Below are 19,058 nucleotides of genomic sequence, written 5' to 3'. Positions count from 1 at the left end.
TCTCCCTCCCCGCCCCCCGGTGTGTGCACCCATCCAGAGGCTGGCCAGCTTGTAAACCGCCGGTTTGCTTGGTCTAGCTGGGTCAGGGCTCCTCCCCGACTGCAGGCGGGTTCTAGTCTCCCGGAGCCTGTGGCTGCTCCTGTAATAGGCTAGTGTGGCGTGGCGGCCAGTCCAGGTCCTTCAACACCTAAAGGTTTTCGCGCGGGGCCTCCAACCACCACAAGCTTTTGTTTGCAAGGGCAGAGCTATTGAGCAGATTATGGGTTTGAAAGTAGTTATCGCTATGGGAACTTGAGGATGCTAGACTTCAGACCCAGGGAAAGATGACTAGTTGATGTTGAGAATGACTACTGGTAGTAGATCTCACATAAATTAAATGGAAATAAGCCAACCATAGGGAACAGTGCATCTGGAAAAGATTCATTGGTAGACGTCTTGCCTAATGAATGAAAACGTTGGTAATAACATGACAAAAATTAACTCCCTTCTTCAAAAGGGGGACAGGGGAGTAGTGTCTCTATGCCAAGATCCATACACTTGATTTTGAAAAATTGGGAGATCCTTTCGAGTTAAAAAAAATTACTTTGCTTCGGTGATCTTTCCTTTTCTTACTACCTGACTTAACTGGAAGTTGATATAAATTATTACACTAGGATAAGAAAAACAAACCTGGGTTTGATATTCTTACTGAAAGTATTACAGTTTCCATAAGGCAATACAGTGGTAACAACTTACACTACAGTTAAGGAACTTGGCAATAACACGTAACAGCAAAATGGGTGCAACACGTATAAACGCATTCCAAAAGATTAGCTTTTCCTCCACCAAACTTAAATTAGAAGTATTTTTTGCTGTTTTCATTGTCCCAGGTACTTCAATTTCAGTTTCACATTTTGTGTGTTCCTTGTTTACTAAAGAGCTGAGAATGTGGGAAGCATCAAAAAGAATATTTTTAACTTGCGTAGCTCCAATCTTGGATAATTGTGGGTTGACCATAATAGATTTCTTGTTTTTTTTAAAAAAAGTTTATTGAGAAAATTAGTTACGTAATCCAAGGAGAAAGTAAACTCTTGATTATGTGGTAGTTGTGAGCAACATTAGTTTGTAACATTCTTAGAAACTATGGCCAGGCGCGGTGGCTCACGCCTGTAATCCCAGCACTTTGGGAGGCCGAGGCGGGCGGATCACGAGGTTAAGAGATCGAGACCATCCTGGCCAACATGGTGAAACCCCATCTCTGCTAAAAATACAATTAGCTGGGTGTGGTGATGCGCTCCTGTAGTCCTAGCTACTCCGGAGGCTGAGGCAGGAGAATCGCTTGAACCCGGGAGGCTTAGGTTCCAGAGAGCAGAGATCACGCCACTGCACTCCAGCCTGGGCGACAGAGCGAGACTCCGTCTCAAAAAAAAAAAAACAGTTGTTATTTTGGATACTCTGTCATGGGGGTGAGGGAGAATCTAGAGGTCTTTAGGGTTGCCTGGTGGTCTGTAGAAAATATGTATGAACTGTACTTCACTATATTTACTTTTTTTGCCAAAGTTATTCAAGAAATTTTCATCCCCCTTTCTCCTTCCCTTTAAATGTGTGCCTGAAGAAAAAGAGGCTTTTTTTTTTTTTTAACTTACATGTTAGCACTGGTTGGAGTTTTAGTACCCAGTTTAGGAAAATACTTGGTATTCATGGTTATAGGTTTTTTTTTTCTTTTTTTTTTTTTTTAATGAATACCATTTGATTCCTGGTTACATATATCTGTTTTCTATAGTTGCTTTTCTGTGAAAGAATTGTAAGATTAAATAATACCAGATAAGGGCAATAATGATGTGATTATGTGGTTTTGAGGAACAAATGTATTACTGAAAAACAATTTAACATTTCTCTTGTGTAGGCATAGAATCATTAAGGTGCACAAAGAGGGCTGGTTCTCACCCATAATCAATTCAAAATTTTACATGAGCTAAAGTGCTCATCCTTTGGGAGGACTGATTCTGCTTGGAAGAACAATGACACTCCCTTATGTCTTGGAAATACAATTATCTGCTGCTCGAAACTGATAGATAAGGGCCAGAATAAAACTAAGAACTTTTTCTTTTAGTTTAGTTTTATATATATATATATAAAATACGTGTGTGTATGTATATATGTATATATATATCGTACTCTGAGAAGTGGTGGTCTGTTGCAGAAAGCTCTGTTTTCACTTTCTCACCCTCATTCACTCACTGGTTAGTTTTAAAACAACTGCAAAAAGGTTTGATTGTGTTTTTTTCCTTTTTGATGAAGGAATTTATTTCTTATATATTATCTTCTTGATTTTTTTTTTTTTTTTGAGACAGAGTCTCGCTGTCTCCCAGGCTGGGGTGGAGTTCAGTGGCGCAGTCTCCCCTCACTGCAAGCTCCGCCTCCCGGGTTCACGCCATTCTCCTGCCTCAGCCTCCCGAGTAGCTGGGACTACAGGCGCCCCCCACCACGCCCGGCTAATTTTTTGTATTTTTAGTAGAAACGGGGTTTCACTGTGTTAGCCAGGATGGTCTCGATCTCCTGACCTCGTGATCTGCCCGCCTTGGCCTCCCTTTTTTTTTTTTTTTTTTGAGACAGGGTCTCACTCTGTCACCTAGGCTGGAGTGGAGTGGTATGATCTGGGCTCATTGCAACCTCCGTTTCCCAAGTTCAAGTGATTCTCGTACCTGTCTCCCGAGTAGCTGGGATTACAGGCGCCCGCCACCACACTCAGGTAATTTTTGTATTTTTAGCAGAGACGGGGTTTCACCATGTTGACCAGGCTGGTCTTGAACTCCTGGCCTCAAGTGATCCACCCTCTTCGGTCTCCCAAAGTGCTGAGATTACAGGCGTGAGCCACCATGCCTGGCCAACCTTATCTTTAAGAAGATGGAATCTAGAAGGTGAGATTTCTATCACTTTTGTTTTGTATTTGGTCCAGTTTTTTGTCTTGGGTATAATCTAATCTGAAACATTTAGTCCTGGGGTTAACAGAATACCTGGAAGGTATATTAGCCATTTCATATAAAAATAAATAGAGTATCAATTAGTTAAGCCAGTCATGCACTGGATATTTAACCCAGATGGGTTCATCCAGATGTACTCCCCGTTTTTAGTAGTTCTGGCTGTCTTCAGATTTATTCCGTAGCTCTGCTTTCTGTAGGGGAATTTTCACATGTCCTCTTAGCTGTAAACTGTGCATGCATGTGTGTGGGTATGTTCATGCCTGATTTATATAATCACCAAATGCTGTTTTGGTCCTGAAAACATCATTTCAGTAGTTTGCGGAGTTCTGAACAAACCAGACACCCCTTCTTAGAATAAACATTTTCATCTTTAAAACACAGTCACATTTTATGGAGACTAGAATGGCCTGGACATATTTGAAGATTCCATAAAAGGAATTAGTAAATGTCTGTAGATTTATGCCATGAATCAGCTAATTAGCCTTTCCTTGATTAGGAGATAACCATGCCCTTCCATTCAATGAATTATCACTTCTCCTGGTTAGGAATTGAACCTTACAATGACAAACATTTTCATACTTCTAAAAATTTATAAGATTTACCTGATGAAGTTGGGTTTTCTGTCTGCAGAAACATTCTGTAGAATCTTTTGGTTCTGTTATTACGCTTTGAGGAAACTGATTTGTAATGATCTCAGGAGCACTTTTCTTAAGAGATTTAGACACTGGTTCTGCAAACAGAGTACAGAACATTACCACTGGAAAGGCACTTGTGAGAATGAGAGATGCACTCAGTCAGACTTATATGGATCTAGTTCCCAGTTAATCTTCATTTAGTTTTGTGGAGAACACAGGATTTGATTGTCAGAGAACTTACTTTGGGCTGCCAAATTAAGGCAGGGAATATCTTACTTAATTTTGATTTTCATATTTGACTGAAAATGATCAAATATGTAACATTCCTATAGTGTTTAACTTTTATACTCCCATAATCTATAACCTTTATCTGAGTCAAGTAAATTTTGGTTTGAGGGAGTGACTTATTTTAAGTGTCCTTGCAAATTGTTCCAGTCTTTGATTTTAGTTATTTTATAATTCAGTGATTCTTGCTTTAAAATAAGTGTTTTCAATCCTTCCATTTATAACTTTTTTTTTTAGAACTTAGCTTTTTGCATTAGTCTGAAGCAGAATTTACCTGCCCCCAAAAGTCTCCAAGTACCACTGCTTGGTCATTCTGGTCAATATTGGGAAGAGCTCCTTAACATACAAACTGAAATCTAGCCCCAGGTTTTCCAGTAACATCAGTTTAATCTTGGGCAAGTCTTCTAACTTCTGAGTCTGTTTCCTCATCTGTTGGCCTAGACTTATATATTGTAAGGTCTAATGTTCAAATTCAGTGGGTTCAGAATGATACTCTTGTGCGGTTAACCCTTAGCAGTTTAACCTGAAAGGAGAAACTGCTAAGGGTTAACCGCACAAGAGTTTTATCTGACTTGCATTTATATCCAGACATAGAAAAATACACTTTTCAGTTCACTTGAGATAAAAGGTTATAAGGGGAAAAGGAATTCTTGCTATTTGCTAATACTTTATTCAAAATGTATTTGTTGAGCAGAAGCTCAACAAATAGGAATAATGTACATCTAAGTATATTACTAAGGCACTGTGGTAGACACTGGGAATACTTTACCATACAGGGCAGATGTGGTCCCTGCCCTCGCAGAGACCTTATTGGTTCAGGAGCGTAGACTTCTCTATGCCTCAGTTTCCTCATCTGTACATTGGGTATAATAATAGCACCTACCTTATAGGATTGTGATTGGGACTAAATATGTTAATATATGTAAAGTGCTTAGAACAGTGCTTGGATATATGCATGCCCTATGACCCTGCCTTCCACTTCTGGGTATGTATTCAACAGAAATGCATACATATGTCCATTGAGAGACATGCAATTTTTCAAAAAAGCCCCAATCTGGAAACAGCTGAAATGTCCAACAGTGAAATAGATTTTAAAAAGTAATGGGATATACGTTTATTTATTAAGTAAATATTGAGATGGGGGGTTTCACTATGTTGCCCAGACTGGTCTTGAACTCCTGAGTTCAAGTGATCCTCCTGCCTTGGCCTCCAAGGCAGTGCTGGAATTATAGACCTGAGCCACTGCACCTGGCTGGGATGTATATTTTTACAATGGACTATTCTACAGTAATAAAAAATAACAGACTACTGTTGTGAGTAAAGTCATGGGTGAATCTCATAAACAATGTTGAATGAAAGAAAAGTACATATAGTATGAATCCCAAACTAATCTATGGTGATAGAAGTGAGAATAGTGATAATGTTTATGGGGGCGGAAGGATGATTAATGACTGGGAGGCTTTTAGGGTGCTAGTAAGTTTTATGTCCTGAATGGTGGATTTGGTGTGTCTACTTTGTAAAATTTTGTTTTACTCTTCAATTTTTTGTGTTAACTAAAAAACAATCTCATAAATTATAAATCTATAAGGCATTAAAGCTGGATTATTTTAGAGATCCAGAGAGATGCAGTGATTTGCTCTGTGTTTAGGAATTAGGGTCAAAGAGAGACTGGAGCTCAGGTTTTCTTATTAGTCTTATGTGCATTTTCTTTCTTCTACATGCTATATTGCATTATATTATCTTTTCTGATGTCTGTGATGGGTCATTTTGGAATTACAGCTCCCATTATTAGGTTGGCTTCTGAGTTTGACTTTCAGACTTATTAAAATGTTATATTGATTATTGACTACCTTTGAAGAACTGTGGATTTTTTTCTTTTTACATCTGATAACAATAATTGCAACAATCACTGTAAAGTACAATTTAAAGGACCATGATAACCAAACAGTTACCTAACTCCGGGCAAGTTTTCATTTACTTTCAGTGTTACTCTCACTCTTTTTTCTTTCTTCTTCTTTTAAAATATAAACTCTAGCTCCTGCAGGAACTTTCACTCAGTGAGCTATGAAATAAATTATTTCTCAGCATTCTCTGCTCTAATACAGTTCATAAACAATATATTTAGTCTAATTTATCAAGGACAGGAATAAATATCTCTGTTATCAGGAAAAAGCAACAAGTTGTTTCCACTGTGTGGAAGAACTTGTTATTTCTCTGGCTCTTACCATCTTCATGTGCTTTTCTCTTGAAGCTCAAAGTTCCTTGGCTTTTGTTGTGACCTTCAAATAATTCTTAAATAAAAACACAGGAAAAGAATCATTATGTGACATCATTTGAAACACATTAATGGTTTTCAAGCATTCAGGTATACTAAAATAAGAAAACTTAAGCAGATGGACAAATAAAGAATGAGTTAAGAATTAGGAATATTTTGGTACAAGGTTTAGAAAAAAGTTGAAACTCTTGGCTTAAATTAGGTACCTATTTTTAATGATTTTTAAGGGTCATTTGAGCATACAATAGTGTAAGGATTTCATTTTTAAAGAGTTTTTCTCTTGCTAAATGAAAATGCAAAGAGGAATGTCTAGAATTTTTTTTGTTAATGTCAATTCCAAAGTTACCATGTCTCCATTTGGCAGTTCTGAGAGTTGGTTTTCTTAGGATGCAGTCAACTTCTTCATAAAATCTCATTTTTCTTGGAGGGTTGCCATTTTTTCTTTGTAAAATGCTATATTCATATTTTACATTTTTATATTTCGTATGACATTGTTTCCGGTCTCTGTCTATCCCAAACTGCATTAATTAATCTTCTGGCAATTTCCTCAAATATTTTCTTGTTTCTTGTGGCCCCTTCAAGCATTCGCTTAATTTTTTCATCAGACCATATCAATGCTCTGACCTCACTGTCACACCAGTATTTTCCGGCCTCTGTGTTACTCACTGTTATAATCTGTAAATGACTTTTAGCATCTTCTAAAGGATTACCTACAAATCAACATGATTTATAATTATTCAAACATAGATAAATCTTGTATTTGATTATCATTCACTTAAAGCAACTGTGATGGCATAAAGTACCAAGAATACAATAATAACTTCAATATGAGTCAAAAGAAATTTTGTGTCCATATTCAAACAGTATATTCTAAAAATTATAAGACAGACTGTTCTCATTATTAGTGAGAAAATTTAGCTGCTTTTCATCATAGGTGATCTTCACTGGATATTTGTGAATATGGAAAGTCCCAGTGTTTACTAAATTTCTTTTAGTGAGAAGTGGGCATAGACATTTTCCTTCTTTCTCTACTGTATTCTCTACCAACTCAGGTATAAGGAAGCATTTTAGGTAATACACAATAGAGATCTTCTCTGTTAGACTTCATATATCAAAATGACATTTAAAATTTACCAATTTAGACCCTGCAGTGGACCCAGTATTATTTTGGGGTGATGATGTGCAGCAGGGGGTGACAGGGGGAAGGCATACTCCACAATGCTTTCTAACAGTGAGTTCCTCTCATCTTAAATTCTCCTAGGTTTTAATTCTGAATAATTTTTCAGCCTTATGAATTTTTTTTTTTTTTTTTTAAGAGACAGGGTCTCACTATGTTGCCGAGGCTGGCGTGGACCTCCTGAGCTCAAGCGATCCTCCTGCCTCAGCCTCCCAAGTAGCTGGCACTACAGGTGCCTACCACCATGCCTAGTGCCTCATGGAAATTTGAAAATGTGTTTAAATCACTCTTGTTGGATATAATTTTTAAAAGATGGTGATAGAAATGTAAAATGGTGAAGTCATGGTGGAAAACAGGTAGTTCCTCAGAAACTTTCAGCATATGCCATATGACCAAGCAATTCCACTCCTACATATAAACCCAGAAGAACTGAAAACATGTTCACATAAAAACATATACATGCTGTGGAAAAACAGTACTGCAGGTCCTAAAAAAATTAAACACAAATTACCATATGATCAACAATTTCGCTTCTGGGTATATACCCAAAAGAATTGAAAGCAGGGACTCAAGCAGATATTTATACATCCACATTCATAGCAGAGTTATTGATAATAGCCGAAAGGCAGAAACAACCCAGATAACCATCGATGGATGAATAAACAAAATGGTGTATCCATACAATGGAATATTAAAATGAAGGAAATTCTGATAAATGCTACAACATGGAGGAGCCCTAAAGATATTATAAGTGAAATAAGCCAGGCACAAATGGACGAATATTGTATGATTCCACTTATATGAGGTACCTAGAATAGTCAAATTCACAAAGATGGAAAGGAGAATAGTGGTCACCACAGGCTAAGGAGAGTTGGGATGGAGGAGTTATTGTTTAATGGCTACAGAAGTTTCAGTTTGGAATGATGAAAAAGCTCTGGAGATGGAGAGTGGTGATGTTTGCACAACAACGTGAACGTACTTATGGGTATAATGGTAAATATTTTATGTATATTTTACCAAAATGGGAAAAAAATTGTACCAGAATGTTCATAGCAACAGTATTCATAGGAGCCAGAAAATGGCAGTGACCCAAATGTCTGTCAGTTGATAAGTGGGAAAACAAAATATGGTATATCTGTAAATTGGAATATTATTCAGCCATAAAAAGGAATGAAATACTGATATATGCTACAACGTGGATGAACCGTGAAACAAAAGAAGCCAGACACAAAAATGTATATTGGAGGGTACCACTCATGTCCAGAATAGGCAAATTCTTAGAAACAGAAAGTTGGTTAGTGGTTGTCAGGGGTTACAGAGGTGTGGTCAAGCAGTTAAACTACTGATGGATATGGGGTTTCTTTCTTTTTTTTTTTTGAGACAGAGTCTTGCTCAGTCGCCCAGGCTGGAGTGCAGTGGTGTGACCACGGCTCACTGCAACCTCCGCCTCCTGGGTTCAAGTGATTCTCCTGCCTCAGCCTCCCGAGTAGCTGAGACCACAGGTGCGCGGCCACCACGCCCAGCTAATTTTTGTATTTTTAGTAGAGATGGGGTTTCACCATGTTGGCCAGGATGGTCTTGATCTCTTGACCTCGTGTTCTGCCTGCCTTGGCCTCCCACAGTGTTGGGATTACAGGCGTTAGCCACCGTGCCTGGCAGATACGGGATTTCTTTGTGGGGTGATCAAAATGTTCTAAAATGGGATACTGGTGATTATTGTATAACTGTGGATATACTAAAAACCACAGTTATACGCTTTAGTTGGGTGAATTTGATTGTATGTAAATCACATCTCAGAAAAGTTGCTGAGGTTTGAGAATAGAAAAGTAAAGACAAGTCAAGTGTAGAGGTTAATGCAGTGATGTCTGTGGGAAGTTATAAAGGAACTAAGGAAACATGAACTGCATTGTACGGAGCTTCCAAATCTTCCTCTAAGCCAGAGTTTTTATGATGTGATTGATTAAGTCATTGGCTGCAAGATGGAACTCAACCTCCAGCCCCACTCTCCTTCATGGAGGTCACACTGGCACAAAGCTCCAACCCTCATCACATGGTCGGTCTTTTTCGGTGACTACCCCCTATCCTGAAGCTATCTGGGAACCCACCTAGAGTAGCCTCATTAACACAACAAAGATGCCTCTGTCTCTGGAAGTTCCAAAGGTTGTTGATGCTTTGTGCCAGGAACAGGAGACCAAAACTAGATATATTCTTTATTATGCCACAGCTTCTTAAAAGTTTATTAAAATATTACCAACAGTACAAATTAGAAAAATCATGACTTCATAATAAACAAGTTGCCTGTATTTAAGATTAGCAGCATACCTATGTCTGAGCTTTCTTTTTTCACATTTGTAAGTCTTCGGTTTTCTGAAGTTTTAGTAATAAGTTCTTCTCTATCTGGATGTACTATTGGATTAAAATGAAAAGTTCTCAGTATTGTGTTTCATATGACTAAAGTGCATTAATTTATGTAATAATTTTACTGCTAAGATTATACAAATTATAATGCATGTAAAATATACAAAAGTGTTTAAATATTCCAGGTTTAAGGAAAATTACTTCCAATTTCTTTCTTTTGGAAGAGATAAATGAATTAGAAGAAAACATAATTCTTAGCGTACCCTTTGAGATGGTAACAGTAGATTCCTTAATGCCCCCTGCTGGCCATCTCATTGTGAACTTTTTGAATTTTGGAAATATGTTTTGCTACAACCAAAAGAAAAATGGGCATTTCTAGGGTTATTCTTAGATGAACATTGAGGTATTTCACTTGTGATTTTTAGGCTGAAGATCAGCGTGACCTCCTCTAATAGGATATATTTTACTACCATGAAACTTCTATGCTTATTTAAGTATGCTTGACTCCACCCCTCTGACCTAAAATAGGTTTAACTGTGACTGTCCTATACCAGAAAGCAGTGGCTTGCGGGAATACATAGATAATAAGGCATACCAGCTCATATAAATGGCAGCTGATATTGGAGCGGAATTAAGTCAATTTTGTTTCTCCTACTCAGAAGAGACAGGTAGGTGATAAGATTGTCAAACACAAATTTTCTCTTTTGGCAGAGTCCTTTCTCCTTTGATAACTTCTTGATTCCTTTTATCCTCTCTCGCTTATGCTTCAGACCAGGGAGAAAAATAAAATATGTTTTAGATCCAAAGATCTAGTTTATTCAATTTTCATGGGCCACTTCTTTTTACTTAACATAATAGGAATAGCCTGAGCAGTCTATGATTCTTCTCCGTGATTGATTTCCTTCATATTCCATTAGTCATTAATTTTTAAGTGATAATCTATCGGCATTAGCAAATTTTTCTTCCCTGAATGGAATCAAATTGAAACTTCTGTGTGAATCAGTCCTCTGCTGGTCTGAGCATGATAACCTAGCTACGGTTTCCAGTGCTGGCTATGCTTGAGAACCGTCTAAAAATACGGGTGCCTGAACTGACTCCAACCTGCTAGATCAAAACCTTCAGAAGTTCCAAATTGGGAACCACTCTAGATACTCAGAATCCAAGGGGTCTACAGCTGTAGCTGGATTTTCATTTGAAGTAAAGAAAAGCTTATGGCTTATAGCATACATTTAAGATAGGAAAGAGAATACTTTTGGGGGACTGGTTTTTTGGCCAGATATCAAAGTTAACAATATGGAGCTATTATTAATAATAGCAACTCCAATTTCAAAAATTCATCAGTGAAATACAAAAAATAAAAATGAAGTGACCTCTGTTTTTACATGTAAATACCCATCACTTTGTTGTTGTTTTAAAGAAAGACTATTTCATGTGAATTTTTTTCCCTGAAGATAAATAATTCATATTTTTATACCTCAATACTACGTTCTATTACATTCTTCCTAAGAGCGGAGTGGCAATTTGTGAATCAGTAGGTATATATTGCAGGTGTACCTAAAATCCTTGCCTGTTTAAGTTTTTTTCTTACGTATTTAGCTGCTGAGATCCTTGTGGGTTTATATCTTTGCTTTGAATTTTCATGTGACAGTTTAAAATAATATAATCTCTAGGATGACTATGCATTTGTCCTGTTTCACATTTTCTAAATATATTCCAAATATTTCATATTTGGCATGCAAACATGCCAAACAAAAAAAAAAACTTGTACTTTTGACTTAATCTTTTTCTTCTACATGTAAAAAATTATCTTGAGGTTGTACTTAAGTAAGTTTTCCAGAGGACTAACAAGCTAAAATCTTCTGAATACTAAAGCTCTTAACTTTTTAGATGGAAATCTTTTTTCCTTATTAAACAATGCAGTAATCTGATTTTCTTATTTTTTAAAATTTTATTTTTTATTTTTAGAGATGGGTTCTTGCTGTGTTGCCCAGGCTGGATTCAAACTCCTGGGCTTAAGTCATGCTTCAATCTTAGCATCCCAAGAAGCTGGGATTATAGGCATGTGCCAACTGCACCTGGCATAATTTGATTTTTAACTCTTAATGACAAAGGCCATAGCTGTGATGCCTATGGAAACCTAAGAATCTGTCCTGTCTGATAAACCAGAGAAATAAGTTTGCCAGGAGTATAGGAAATTTGATTAACTAGTTTGTTAAATTAACATTGAGCTTTACACTTTGTGAAGTTATATGAAGCTTTGGACTGACAGACTAGGTACAAGGTCTTTTTAACAGATATACTTCAGCTTGGGGGCTTGGTGATCTCCTCCTCCCCAGTTTTGGTTTGTGTAGAAGAGGCAAACTATCAGGTAGCAAGCACAAAATCTCACCTCCAAACCCTTAGTGCCCTATACCAGAGGGTAATGATTCTCAAACTTGCTTGCATCATTATAACCTGGAAGACTTGTTAAAACAGATTGCTAGGCCCCAACACCAGAGTTTCTGATTCTGGATGGGGCCCAAGAATTTGCATTTTGAGTAAGTTCTCAGTTAATGCTGATGCTGCTACACTTGGAGAAAAACAGCGATGGGGAACATTGCTTCCATTAATTATTTCCACCTTTCATTTATGTGTTTTGAGTTATGATCCAACAGTACTTCATATAATGTTATAACATAATTTCTTAGGTATGGTAGCGTCTATTAATATATAGATATAAAATCTAAAACCCATTATGAGGGCACCACTCTCATGACCTCATCTAAAGCTAGTTATCATTCAAAGGCCCTGTCTCCAAATACATCACATTGGGGGTTAAGGCTTCAATATATGAATATTGGTGGGAGGAACACAGTTCAGGCCATAGCAGTGTCTTATAATAGCATTTTATGTATATACTTTGTCACACACACACACACACACACACACACACACACACGTACAAAAAAAAAAAACCAGAATATTATTTTATGTGTGTCAAGACCTTGTTTTTTATCTGTATCTCCTATGTCTTCTGACTTATTACTGACTGAATCATCTTCAGCTACATCTCCAGCAATGACTGTATGAACATAAGGGGATATATATTGGCTTTTTAAATTTACTTCAGGATCGTGTTTTATTTATTTAGATTATTTATTTGTTTTTGAGGCAGAGTCTCACTCTGTTGCTCAGGCTGTGGTTCAGTGGTACGATTTTGGCTTACTGCAACCTCTGCCTCCCAGGTTCCAAGGATTCTCATTCCTCAGCCTCCCGAGTAGCTGGGATTACAGGCATGTGCCACCACACCTAGCTAATTTTTTGTGTATTTTTTAGTAGAGATGGGGTTTCACCATGTTGGCCAGGCTGGTCTCAAACTCCTGCCTCAAGTGATCCACCCACCTTGGCTTCCCAAAGTGCTGGGATTAGAGGCATGAGCCACAACGCCTGGCCCAGAATTGTGTTTTAAACTCTAATGCAGTATTTTCCTTTTTAAAGGGACCCTAATATTAAATATGATTAGTTAGATTCCCTACCCTTAAGCATCTTTTTGTCACTATAGATATTGGGTATGTATCTGAGTCTCTAACTAAGTCTTCTGACATAACTAATGGAATCATCTTTAGCTGCATCTCCAGCAATGACTGTATGAAGATATCATGCCACTGCTGTTGGGCTGCTTTATCTGTAGTCATCTAACTGGGGGAGATGTATAGTTCTCTAGCATACCAGTTTCTTTCTTGTCCACCAGCGAAATATTTTGAGATTTCTCACCAACATTTCCAGTCTTAACTGTCTGTGGTTCCCCTCTCTTCCCTAGACGCAGACTGTCTTACAATTGGGACTCATCATTTAAGCCAGATAATAAAATCCGGAGACACTGTGGTTAGTAGAGGTCTTTAAGACCATCTTGTCCACACCCCCCAATTTTGGAGTTAGGTCTACAGCAGCGGTCTCCAACCTTTTGGCACCAGGGACTGGTTTCACGGAAGACAATTTTTCCATGGACCAGGGGGTGAGGGGGCCATGGTTTTGGGAGGATTCAAGTGCATTACATTTATTGTGCACTTTATTTCTGTTATTATTACGTTGTAATATATAATGAAATAATTAAACAACTCACCATAATCTAGAATCAGTGGGAGCCCGGAGCTTGTTTTCCTGCAACTACATGGTCCCATCTGGGAGTGATGGGAGACAATGACAGATCATCAGGCATTAGATTCTCATAAGGAGCACACAACCTAGATCCCTTGCCTGCACAGTTCACAACAGTCTTCGTGCTCCAGTGTTCTAATCTAATGTGAGAATCTAATGTTGCCGTTGATCTGACAGGAGTCGCGGAGCTCAGGTCATAATGTGCATGATGGGGAGTGTCTGTAAATACAGATGAAGCTTGGCTCGCCCACCACTCACCTCCTGCTGTGCAACCCAGTTCGTAACAGGCCACGGACCAGTAAGGGTCCAGGTGTTGGGGACCCCTGGTCTAGAGAAGACACTTGGTTACTTCAAGCTTCCACAGAGCCTTACAACTTTGATTTCCTGAATCCTGGTCTAGAACTCATTCAGTTTATTTCATGCTATCATGTCTTAGTGTGTATGTACTGTATCTCAATCCTTTGGTTTAAATATACTTTAAAGACATTTATGATGGGTCTCAGAGAAATGTACTACTTCTAAGAAAGTCTCATGTATTTTATATTTTTCTAAGTTCTTCAATGCCCTTTTTCTATTTTACTCAATTTTACCACAATTAGTATGAAAATTTACTTTAACTTCTGCCATCTGGGGTTGCATATTTGCTTTATTAAAATTGATCTATTTTAAACTTTATTCTGGGAATCCAGTTTTATTTCCTCCTTTTTGTATAACTGTACTGTTTCTATTCTGGGGAAGATCAAATGTATACTAAATCTGTTTCATAATAAATTCAGCTAGCTTGTCAAATAGCATGTAATGAAACCTATTTAACTTACATATATAATATTCCTCTTATGGTACTGAACATTCTCAATACAGGTTGAGCATCCCTAATATGAAATCTGAAATGCTACAAAATTTGAAACTTTTTGAGCACCAACATGATGCTACATGTGGAAAATTATACACTTGACCTCATGTGATGGGTATAGTCAAAACTTTGTTTCATGCACAAAATTATTAAGAATATTGCATAAAATTAGCTTTAAGCTATATATATGAAACACATATGAATTTCATGTTTGGACTTGGCTCCCCTTTCTAAGATACCTCACTATGTATATGCAAATACTCTAAAATCTGAAAAAGTATCTAAATCTGAAACACTTCTGATCCCAGGCATTTTGGAAAAGGGATCCTTGAACCTGTGTGATGTAACATGATGTTAAGATTATTTTTCTTCACCTTCCTACCTGTCTGGTCCTCTCCCATTTTTACGTTGGCACATTCTGTGACATGTTCTCCATCTTGGGATTCCTGGTCTCGTGATTTTTCTGTTTTATTGGGTCCCAGAATAGCATCCAACTCAGTAAAAAATTTCATACTCTTAGTCATGCCTAGATCTTGAGCTGTTCTTACGATCTTGTATTCGTGTTTTAGGTTTTTGTATTTTGTTCTGCACTGTTTCCAGTCTCTGTCTATTCCAAATTTCTGAAGCTTGGCTGCAATTTGTTGAAATATCCTCTTATTTCTCACTGTTCCCTCTAGTTGTCGTTGTATGCTTTTATCAGACCAGATGTCTATTAGAGCCCTGACTTCTGGCACAGTCCAGTGCTTTCCTCCTTCATTTGCTACAGTTGGGATAAAAGTTGTATTATTAGAGGGTTCCAATACTGACGTAGAGATACCTGCATTAGGTAGAGAGGTAAAAGATATATGCATTATATACATCAGACAAGGTAAATAATTGGATGCAACATTATTAAAGAAAGCAGTTTCCTCCATAGGAGATGGAGTAACAAATCATAGCTTAGCTTTTCTCTTAAACAGTGGGGAAACAAAATACAGAACCTAAATCTGTCCATTATTATGCCGGTTACTGGCTTTAATAAAGTTGTGTTTTTTTAGTCATATTTTGATCATCTTTCCTGTATACCTTTTTTTTCTCTTCCATACCACTCCTTTAGTATGTAGGGTGTATGTCAGTGTATAGTGGAAGTTCAATATATAAATGTGTAGCATTTACTATAGAAAACAGTAATTACTTAAGAAAATGGCTCATTGTAGATAATTTGTTTTGAAATAGGATAGGTACAAACAATTTAACTCCTTTCTTTTTTCTTTATCTTACGATTTCCTTTGGCTATATATCAGTCTACTGGGAAGCATTTAAAAACCACCACTCTGGTACCTGCCTCATCCCTCATCCCCAGACTGTGAATCTAATGTGTAGTCAGGGTTGAGAACTGAGGCTACTCATGAGCTGAGGGCTTGGAAGAGTCACACAGAACAATCAGTGCTTACGCCTTGCGAAAATTACAGAAAGACTAAAGCCATTTTAAATGAAGTATTTTCTTTTAATGGTAGGGAAATGTGTCAGAAATTTCATAATGCCTTGTTCCTAGGCAGTATGTCTCCACTTAGTTATAAATCCTTTAATATGCCATGGTGTGTATTAGGTCTCTAGAACAGTTTTATACTTCATTTACATTACTGACAGTACTTGACTTTATATTGGTTATTTTGACAACCAATCTTGTGTTTTTCTCAGATTTCATTTTCATAAAAGAAGTAGGTTCATTTTCTGAATTATAAACTTACAAGCACATTAACTTTGGTCTTTGTGTTTTTTTTGAGACAGGGTTTCAAATTGGATGTAATATTATTAAAGAAAGGAATTTTTGGCTGGGCATGGTGGCTCAGGCCTGTAATCCCAGTACTTTGGGGTGCCAAGGCAGGTGGATTGCCTGAGCTCAGGAGTTGGAGACCAGCCTCCCAACAGGGCAAAACCTGTATCTACAAAAAAATGCAAAAATTAGCCAGGCTTGGTGGCATGTGCCTGTGGTCTCAGGTATTTGGGAGGCTGAGGTGGGAGGATTGCTTGAGTCGGGGAGGTGGAGGTTGCAATGGGCTGAGAATACACCACTGCACTCCAGCTTGGGCAAAAGAGTGAGACCCTGTCTCAAAATAAGATAAAATAAAATAAAATAAGTTTTTTAAAAAAGAAAGTAATTTTCTTTCACCAAGCTAGAGTGTAGTGGAGAGACCACTGCTCATTGCAGCCTGAACCTCCCAGGTTCAAGTGAACCTCCAGAGTAGCTGGGACCACAGGCACACGCTACCATGCATGACATTAACATTTTGTTTGCATTAAAAATAATCTTCAGCCAGGTGCGGTGGCTCACGCCTGTAATCCCAGCACTTTGGGTGGCCAAGGTAGGAGGATCACGAGGTCAGGAGATCAAGACCATCCTGGCCAACATGGTGAAACCCTGTATTTACTGAAAATACAAAAATTAGTTGGGTGTGTGGTGCACACCTGTAATCCCAGCTACTCAGGAGGCTGAGGCAGGAGAATCGCTTGAACCTGGGAGGCAGGATTGCAGTGAGCCGAGATTGCACCACTGCACTCTAGCCTGGCAACAGAGCAATACTCTGTCTCAAAAAAAAAAAAAAAAACAAAAAACCAAATCTTCAAATTATACCGAAGATTAATCATAATTTATTTTGTTTCTTTTTCTTTTCGTAGACTCTGTTGCACAGGCTGGAGTGTGTAGCACAGTCATGGCTCACTGCAGCCTTGAACCCCTGGGCTCAAGTGAGCCTTCCTGCCTCAGCCTCACAAGTAGCTGGGACTACAGGCATGAGCCACTGACTGCACCTGGACTATTTTTAATAATTTTTTTAGGCATGGGGTCTCACTGTGTTGCCCAGGCTAGTCTCGAACTCCTGGTCTCAAGTGATCCCGCACCTTGGCCTCCCAAAATACTGGGGTTACAGGTGTGAGTCACTGTGCCTGGCCATAATTTAAAATTAAATATTACAATTAATGGTTCAGTAATAATTGAGTTTAGGTTTTGGCCCCTATCATACAAATGATATTACAATTAATAACTTTTGTCAGGTTCATGAGTTTTAAGTCATTAAAAAAACTTTATAGCATTTGTTTGAGATATTTTATGGTGTATTTAATGTCTTTGCTTTGAAATGCTTTTCAGAATTTTTTTTCTTATTTAGGTTACAAATATTTAATGTCTTTGCTTTGTAATGCTTTTTCAGAATTTTTTTTCTTATTTGGGTTACAAATAAGTTTTTCTATTATGTAAGTTAGAAGTAAGGTTTTTGCTTCTAGCTTCAATAAGAAATTAGAAGCGGCCGGGTGCAGTGGCTCACGCCTGTAATCCCAGCAATTTGGGAGGCCGAGGCGGGTGGATCACCAGAGGTCGAGAGTTCTAGATCAGCCTGGCTAACATGGTGAAACCCTGTCTCTACTAAATATACAAAATTAGCTGGGCGTGATGGTGCGCTCCTGTAATCCCAGCTAGTCAGGAGGCTGAGGCAGGAGAATTGCTTGAACCCCGGAGGCAGAGGTTACAGTGAGCTGGGATCATGACACTGCACTCCAGCCTGGGCAACAGAGTGAGACTAGAAAAGAAAAGAAAAATAGAAGCAAAGAAGGATTTACACTGAATTTAATTCATTGGGTGATTCAAATTATCCTTGACCTGGTTGTGGCTCTGATGTTTACTTTCAGATGTAAAATTCTGTTTGTCTTAATTCCTTGCCTCAACACTAAAGTGATCATGTTCATTACTATGAGTAAGTTTAGCCATCAGATTTCTTATAATATTTAAAGAGTAAAGTTCGGAAATTAGAGAACCAATATTTCTAGGAAACTTAAATTTCGTAAGGAAATCATTTGCTTTAGAAATAATTTTTTTCAGTGTGGGTTGGCAAAAAGGGAAACATAAATCAATTCTGAGTGTTTCTTCCAGGAAAAATTGTCAATTTTCTCAGATTAGGAACCAGTCTTTCCGTTTGAAATTAGATCAGTTTCATTCTGTCCCATCCATTATACTATACCTAGTTCCATTGGTCTGACATGAGAAACCAGAAGTAAAGGATTTCCTGAGACATCTTCCTTATCTACTGATGCAATTGACATTTTACCTGTAAATATAACAGAATTCCTTTTAGAAACAACATGACTGATAATTCTAATAGCTTTAGCTAAATGTGGTCATATTCTTGAAAACAGATTTGTGATAGACATTTTGTAATAAAGTTGTATAATATAGTTTAAATATTTGTATATTTAAAGAGAAATCTAATTTTTTCCATCCCATTGACATGGTCCATTTTGAAGTTCTGCTAGAATTGTTTGATAATTTTTTAAGTTTTTAGAAATGGTTGTAGTTAGTTTTCAAGTTAAATTACTTTTTTTTTTTTTTTGAGACAGAGTCTTA

The 19,058-nt window shown here is 37.7% G+C and overlaps 2 protein-coding genes across 7 annotated transcripts in view, besides 1 other annotated feature; one reads left to right on the top strand and one right to left on the bottom strand.

Annotated features, from left to right (window-relative positions):
- Nucleotides 1–19,058, top strand: part of PPAT (phosphoribosyl pyrophosphate amidotransferase) — a 42,254-nt gene that overhangs the window by 502 nt on the left and 22,694 nt on the right. The gene's annotated exons all lie outside the window — the stretch shown is intronic.
- The window catches only part of PAICS (phosphoribosylaminoimidazole carboxylase and phosphoribosylaminoimidazolesuccinocarboxamide synthase), a 54,072-nt gene that overhangs the window by 29,465 nt on the left and 5,549 nt on the right, over nucleotides 1–19,058 (bottom strand). Inside the window, exons 4-9 of one of the 5 annotated variants that reach the window (XM_047449528.1) lie at nucleotides 18,676–18,762; nucleotides 15,066–15,500; nucleotides 9,658–9,741; nucleotides 6,109–6,174; nucleotides 3,566–3,693; nucleotides 170–1,398 (exon numbers count right to left, since the gene is read on the bottom strand). In XM_047449528.1, the coding sequence (XP_047305484.1) occupies nucleotides 1,285–1,398; nucleotides 3,566–3,693; nucleotides 6,109–6,174; nucleotides 9,658–9,741; nucleotides 15,066–15,500; nucleotides 18,676–18,762 (914 nt within the window). In that variant the 3' untranslated portion in view covers nucleotides 170–1,284. Of the gene's footprint in view, nucleotides 1–169; nucleotides 1,399–3,565; nucleotides 3,694–6,108; nucleotides 6,175–9,657; nucleotides 9,742–15,065; nucleotides 15,501–18,675; nucleotides 18,763–19,058 lie in introns of those variants that run through there. The other 4 variants (XM_047449527.1, NM_001392010.1, NM_001392011.1 and 1 more) reach the window with 4 other exon arrangements.
- Nucleotides 9,026–9,711: an enhancer, noted in NCBI's record as "OCT4-NANOG-H3K27ac-H3K4me1 hESC enhancer chr4:57291569-57292254 (GRCh37/hg19 assembly coordinates)". NCBI's record gives its function as "activates a minimal SCP1, AML or CMV promoter by ChIP-STARR-seq in naive H9 embryonic stem cells {active_cell/tissue: H9 hESC(naive)}" and the evidence as "EXISTENCE:reporter gene assay evidence [ECO:0000049][PMID:30033119]".

Source organism: Homo sapiens, chromosome 4, assembly GCF_000001405.40.
Source record: "Homo sapiens chromosome 4, GRCh38.p14 Primary Assembly".
NCBI classification, from domain to species: Eukaryota; Metazoa; Chordata; class Mammalia; order Primates; family Hominidae; genus Homo; species Homo sapiens.
Note: the sequence above shows the minus strand (reverse complement) of the source record. Positions and strands in the feature narration are given on the sequence as shown.